General features: G+C 35.5%; 1 long non-coding RNA gene across 3 annotated transcripts in view, besides 3 other annotated features; it reads right to left on the bottom strand.

The window, feature by feature from the left end:
* LOC102724934 (uncharacterized) overlaps positions 1 to 3423 on the bottom strand; it is a 181069-nt gene extending 177646 nt beyond the window's left edge. For 2 of the 3 annotated variants that reach the window (XR_001750707.2, XR_001750708.2), the window contains exon 1: positions 3118 to 3412. This is a non-coding gene — a long non-coding RNA (uncharacterized LOC102724934). Of the gene's footprint in view, positions 1 to 3117 lie in introns of all 3 variants that reach the window. The other variant, XR_943701.3, reaches the window with a different exon arrangement.
* Positions 93 to 2711: an enhancer, noted in NCBI's record as "VISTA enhancer hs1523". NCBI's record gives its function as "enhancer in: midbrain (mesencephalon)[11/13] | forebrain[12/13]" and the evidence as "EXISTENCE:transgenic organism evidence [ECO:0001131][PMID:17130149]".
* Positions 93 to 4511: a biological region, named in NCBI's record as "VISTA enhancers hs342 and hs1523".
* Positions 2692 to 4511: an enhancer, noted in NCBI's record as "VISTA enhancer hs342". NCBI's record gives its function as "enhancer in: forebrain[4/7]" and the evidence as "EXISTENCE:transgenic organism evidence [ECO:0001131][PMID:17130149]".

Below are 6907 nucleotides of genomic sequence, written 5' to 3' on the forward strand. Positions count from 1 at the left end.
CGATAATAAAGTAAATGTTAAAAAGGATATCCCCCACAATCTCTTCTTCTTCAGGCCTTTCCTGATTTAATCTTAGATGTTCTTGCTATATCATGAGTGGCTGAGCTCCAATCAGAGAAAATTCAGCGATGGAAACTCTTTACTTGGGCTTCCCACTATTTATGTGTGGTATTCCCAATTTGTAGCTGTATTTGTGCTGGAGCAGACAGAAATAACCAATGAAAAAAAATAGGAGCAATACAGTTTTATATTTAAAGTAGTGTCATGAGGCATCAAGGCAGTTAGTAATCCAAGAAGGCTCAAATTATGTTTTTTAACTATAAAGTATAAATTTAGTAAAAAAGACTAATTTCTAATAAATAATAGACAAATATTGGAATGAAAAACATCACTTTCTATATAAATTTACTAAGGGAGAACTTTCGGTAAGGTTACCATAATTTTATTTTACAGCCATAAAACTTTTCAGGAAATAGGTTACCAATTTGATATTGTAGATTAATTAACCTCAGTTATATACATATTTTTTAAATGCTAATTTTTGGCAATACAGTTGAGAAGAATTATTTTGTAATTGCATATCTTTCTGTGTCTGGAATTCATCCCCTATAAAGTCCTCTGGCCATGGGTGGCAGTGGCCTGCGGTCAAAATCTAAACATAAGTTCATCATCATCTTTTAATTTTGTGGTCTTGAGCTTTTGACCCAAAGAGGAGTTGGGGGTTCACTAGGGCAGGACTAAATGGAGCAAACACTTGTCTTTGGAGCCCAAGCGCTGACCTTAAAGATGTAAAATGAATTGCCTGCTCCCAAGGTTATTGTTATAATCAGGTATGTGAAAATGAGCAGTAAGAATGTGAAGGAGAGAGCGGAAGAGAGAGAGAGAGAAAGAGAGAAAACATTCCTTGGTTTGCTAGAAGTATTTAGTGCATATTTTATATTTTTTAATTTTATTTTTTAACCATGTTCTGCTTTAAAAACTGTACATAGAAGAGTCAGGCTTCTGACTTTTAATGAATTGCTGTGAAATTTGGTTACATACATTACTCCAACCCTGTGAGGGGGGGACAATTATAGTTCATTATATGCATCTCAAGTTGTTTATTCATTATGATGCACAAGGATAGTTTAAGGACTTGTTTCTGCCAAGAGCTCCCCCCACCAAATAATTTCACAACAGAGTAAAAACACATGGACTTTATATAAAGTAAAAATAGAAGTGATATAAGGGTTGTATTTTTATAGCTGTATTTGAGTACATTTCAAATGAATGTTTGTTAAACAGGGGGAAAAATCAGACTGGCATTGTCGTGATTCTAAGCGAATTAGGTGAGGCAGGAACAGGAAGAATCTGAGTAGCTTGCATTTAATTAGCACTTACTGGTACAAAATAAATTAGACAGATTTGTCTTGTTTTATGAGCAAGATCCTGTTTTTCTATTTCATTTTCTTTGTGCTTTTGGTAAGGACGGATCTGGCGCTTTGGATACTAAATAGGCAACTAATTCAATTGGTGCTTTCTCCGAGGGTCTCCTTGCAAACCGGTGCCAGACTCACTGGTCCTTTGTGTACTGCCCGCCCTGCATGTGTCTGGGCTCCCCTGGCCAGTCCGTTTTTTTGTCTCTGATGGTTAATAAGCTTTGAGCCTAGTAGTCAAATGTGGTGGGAACGGGGACAAGACGAGGGTCCTTAGTGAAGGTGTTTGTTGTTAAATAGAACAATTCAGCTGTCTCTTTAGAAAACTTGACAAAAGGAAATGCTCCCTGCTGAAAATTTTCTTAGCCTGTTGCACAAAAGATGAAGTTTGTTTAAGAAATTGCTGCTAAAGAAAGCGTCAACCCATTAAGGTAATTATATGGAACCTGTGCCGTATAACAGCTTAATTGATGTTAATGTTTGTCTAATTGGTGATTGGGAGAGTGCAAAGGACTAAAGGTCTTCCGAGCACTTTCAGTCACGGCTCTGAAAGGGGCTCTTCTGGTTTTCACAGTTATAACAATGCCTGCGCGTCTTTCTCAGATTACGCCTTGTTTTCAGCCCCTTACAGCATTCTGCTCCACTACTTAAAGCGTAAAATAAGGGTGAAGAGCCATTGTCTAATGCAGCCTTTTTCAAAGAGTGTTTCTGACAGGGATTGTTCTAGGAATCAGGCAGGAGAGAAGGGAGTGTGAGAGGTGAAAGCCACTATCACCCACTTGTGTCACCTCCCCAATGAGCAGCAAGAGCCGCCTAATTGCTGCATCTGTTTTTTTTTTCTTTTCCTCCAAGCCTCCATTCTCTTAAACAAGATCCTTACACCGATGCCACATGTTCCTGTGGAATCTATCAAACAAAACAAAACAAAAAAACACCCCAACCTGGCTGACATTTTTTAAATTGGCATAAAAAGAACCGTTAGGAAAACATATATAACAATTAAATGCATGCACAAAAATATATGAACTTTTCTCTTTCCTAAGATTTCACACATTGTATGGACACATTTACAAATAGAATTAGATGAAAGAATACACTGTGGGTACCTAAACACATATATGTGACTTTTCTGTGTAAAGATACATGCATGATTATTACATGGATACTTACATATGCAGACACAAATGTATAGATTTGGAAACCTTGCTTTTGTTTCCATATGAGAAAGCCATTTAAATGTGTCATCAATCTTGGTGTTTTTTTTTTAAGTCATAGTAAACACCGTTGATCCAGGTTATAAAACTCAAATGCTTAAATATTTTACATTCCTAGATAAACTGATTGAAGAGCCAAGACTTGTCTTAAAAAAAAATTCTCAGCTTACACACTCATTCATTCGCGCGTGCAGACACACACACACAATGCATTTAACATACCCACCCCCCCCCCACCATCCTGCAAAGTTATAGTTCTCAGGCTTTTCAATTTTTATGTTTTACATTCCTATATTTAACAGATTGATATTTTCCTGTTTGTTCTCTTTAAGATTTCTTTTCTACATACAGAGTGTATTCATGTGCTATCCTAATGAGGAAATGACGAGTTTTTATCAACCTTATTAAACATACACCCAGAAGATATCCATTTGAATAAGGGGCCAATTACTAAGTGTGTCTTCAGTTAGAAAGAACTTAGCTTTTACCTTGTACTTTGGCTCTCCATGTCTCTAATTAATTGAATCTTGAAATCGTTGGACTTTCAGCTTAAGAGAAGACTGAAGAAGGGAACTTAACAACACTGCCTATTCCTTTATGTCTAGAACGGGCTAAAAAAAAAAAAAAACACCTGTAATGCTAAAAGACTCAGGCTTTTGTCTGTTTCTAATATTACTTTTCTGCCTAATTGCCATCACTGCCACGTACATTAGGCCCTTTTTCAGCAGGGTTAAAACAGGGCCAGTGATGAATGGAAAACTGATTGTACTGCTGTCAAACTTGAATGTGAGGCTTATTCTAGAGATAGAAGTATGAGGAAAAGGACAGAGAATTGCACTTCATTAAAGCTCTACCAAGCTGATTGGAGTGGAGGAGGTAATTGAGATTTAAAGTGGCATTCCCATCACACTGTCCCTTTTTCAACTTAACAACTGTCATTCAAGCCACATAGGGCAACAATTGGCCAGATTTCCCAGCTCTTCTGAGTAATAAAACAGACACTCACCTTCTGGCTATTCGTTTTACTTACTTTGTTCTAATTTCCAATTCATGTGTCATTAGTGAACGAAGATTGACAAGAAATAGCTTTGACCTCACAGATTTGACCTTCAACCCCAAAGACCCAACTCTAGTCTGAACATAGGTTGGAATATGCTAAGAAACACCTTTCCTTTGCACAAGAATGAATGGCAGTTTTTTCATCATTGTACCACCCCCTGCTTGCCACTACATTTAGACTATGAGACATGTCAACTGCCTGTCACAATTACAATAGACACAGCAAACCAGAATTTTCCCCAAATCCAAGGGGAACTTCGCGAACAAAGAGTAAATTTTATTGCACAGATTTTGGAGACCTCCAATTTGTAGAGCCATAATGAATGCATCCCACAGACAAATAGGTAGTTGTTAATTATCCCAGCAATTTCTTTTTTTAATGTGCTAACAACACAGCACGCTAAGCCTTCATATCCTACTCTGTTACCTGATGATCTCATCACATTTGCAACGATGGTAGTCTGGGAAGAAGGCATTATTTTAGCAAGTATGCATGACAATAAGTTACATGATTATAATCCCTTATTTTCATGATTTAATAAAAAGAAAGTGTGATATTTTGGAAACAAATGGGTTTAGCTACACCTTTACTAAATCAGTTGAAGTAGTTTACCTATAGAATCACTTTATGATAAACGTAATCTTTGTATTTTCCTTGACTGAGTATCCTAAAGCTTAGATATACCAATTTTGTGTCATCAAAACATGCTGTGGATAAAAAATGTTGAAGGGCAAGACCTATGACCTGAATAAGAACCCTCAATGAATTTAAAAGTATTTTATGCCTTTCACACAGTTTTGAATAGCAATTGGGTCCTGGAAATCTATTATGGCAAGGAAATTGTTACGGTTTTTTTTACATTAAGTGACAAACATTTGGATGATTCTTGTGTTACATCCCCCTCGCCCCCTAAACAGAATAATGAAATACATCACTTTATCATGTCAAGTGTTCAAAAACTTGACTCCATTTCCTTCATGATAAAACATTGGGAAACACTATCAGGTTGCTGCTTTGACTTTATTTTAATGAATTGTGAAGTCATTTTCATTTTACCTGTAAAATTCATTCTTCTGCAGGTATTTTTTCCTTTTCAATCATGGATTTACTTACTTTAATGGTTGTCACAGTTATTTGTTTTTCCCTTGCAATATTCTTCTCTTATAACATGGATTCACATAACTCATTGTGCTTCACTGTATTTTCTGAATTTCTTGCTTGTGTTACTTAAAAAGGAGTATACAATATATTTTCTTACAGCAGGAGGCATTAACTTTCATGAGAAATCACAATTGTTACCACATCATCCGTAAGTACTCACAAAGCTACCACTTTCAGAAAATTTAAATAAAAGTCAAAGAACTGATTTTTTTAAATGATGATTAGCATATAAATCAAAAGAATAATTTCAGAACAGGACAAACTTCCAGGGTATGACATGGTAAGAGTTTACTAAGAATTATAAAAATGCAGGGATAAATGGAATATTCTTTATTAGATCTGTATCACAATTATGTTTGAAACACGTTTTCAGGGTAATGACAATAACACATTTGCCATCATTTTGCCTCGATGCATGTACCTTCTCTGTTACATAGCGCTCTTCCAGCCAAACAATAAAGAAAGCTCTTTGCATTTAGAATTTTGCTTTCTTGTGAGTAAATTTTTATGTCCTTATAGCTCAGAGAAGGTCACAACTTACGGTTTTATCCCAACAGCACATTAGTGATAATCAAAAGAAATAAATCTCTAACTGTTGGTAGCTTCTACAGAAATGTCTTTTATCCTACACCTGTGACAATTGCCCTGTGTTAGTGAAGCCAACAAGAGTCAGGACACAGGTCAAGGGTCAGGGCACTGTCAAGGGGAAGTTATTCTTCAGTCTACTAAATCTTATCATTTTCATCTAATGTGATATCCTCCTATCAGTCAGAGAACGTAGGCTATTGTCTTGTCTAAGTGCTGCACTTTCCTCCTCAAAGACAGTACATTTTATTACTTTTTTATAATTACCATTTTTTATCTTCAAAATTTTATCTTCCAAATAAACACACTGAACTGATAAGCCATCTCCAAGACTTAATATTTTTATACTAAAATCACAACAAGAAGTGATACTAAAAACAGGGTTCAGGTATTAGTGTTGTTTGATTGATTTGATTGATAGATTAGTTTGATTGATTTAATGGTTATATTATGAATGACTTAAAAAAAGAGTTAACTAAACAAATAATGAAATGAGTAGCAGTGGATAAATAATGAATGGCAGAATAGCTTGACAACTTTATGTGTGCCTAAGTGAGTTTATTCCTACATGATGGCACGCTCACCCTAGATATTATGGGCTAGCACATCCTGCTAGCAAGTAGGTTACTAAGATATAATAAAACATGTTCTGAAAAATATTTTCATAATGGACTTCAGTTAAGTATACACAGTTGAGTCTGCTTTTGCTATACTTGTATATAATAAAATTCGAATTCTAATGCAGTATAGTGAAAGACTCGGTTACCTCAGTGTAATGCAGTATGCAAATTGCAATTCCCCTTGTCATGAGATTTGACTCACAAGAAAAATTTGTGTTAGCGTCTTCCAAAAAAAAAAAAAACAAAAAAAAAACGATATCTCAAAGCTTTAAAAAGCAGGTTACAAGTGGCTAAGTTGGGCCATTTAGATCTTCTCTCTCATTGGGAGGAAAATAAATCACAAATAAGTTTCACGCTATCCTTTGTATCCACAGAAAAGTAAACCAAATCTCTAGCATTTCATATCTTTTCCTTCTGGCAATTCCCGTAAGGATAACATAGTGGAATGAACAGTTATAGACGGGAACTCAAGGAGCCATATGCTTTAGCCTCAAATCTGCTATTAGCCTGCTGAGTAGCATGAGCCTCAGTTTCCCCAGCTGTCAAATGGGAGTGAGAGTGTTATTCTCAACTCTATGGATTTTTAAAGACTTAACAGTATCTTTGCCCATCATGTTTAAGAGATAGAAACCTTTCTTTTGTGCTCCTTACAAAGAGTTTTATCTTAGTTCCTAATAAAAGCATATATGTTTCACCTACATGGTCTTAATCTTGGGGACAGGAATTTATCTTCTTCATTTTTTTACCTAATTACTTAGCAAAGTGTCTGTTGAATTAATAAATGGAGAAATAATTCTTATGGTAACTATATATCCTGCTTTATGCCTATTTTGACTTTATGCCTTTATGCCT

This window comes from Homo sapiens, chromosome 14, assembly GCF_000001405.40.
Source record: "Homo sapiens chromosome 14, GRCh38.p14 Primary Assembly".
In the NCBI taxonomy this organism is placed as follows: domain Eukaryota; kingdom Metazoa; phylum Chordata; class Mammalia; order Primates; family Hominidae; genus Homo; species Homo sapiens.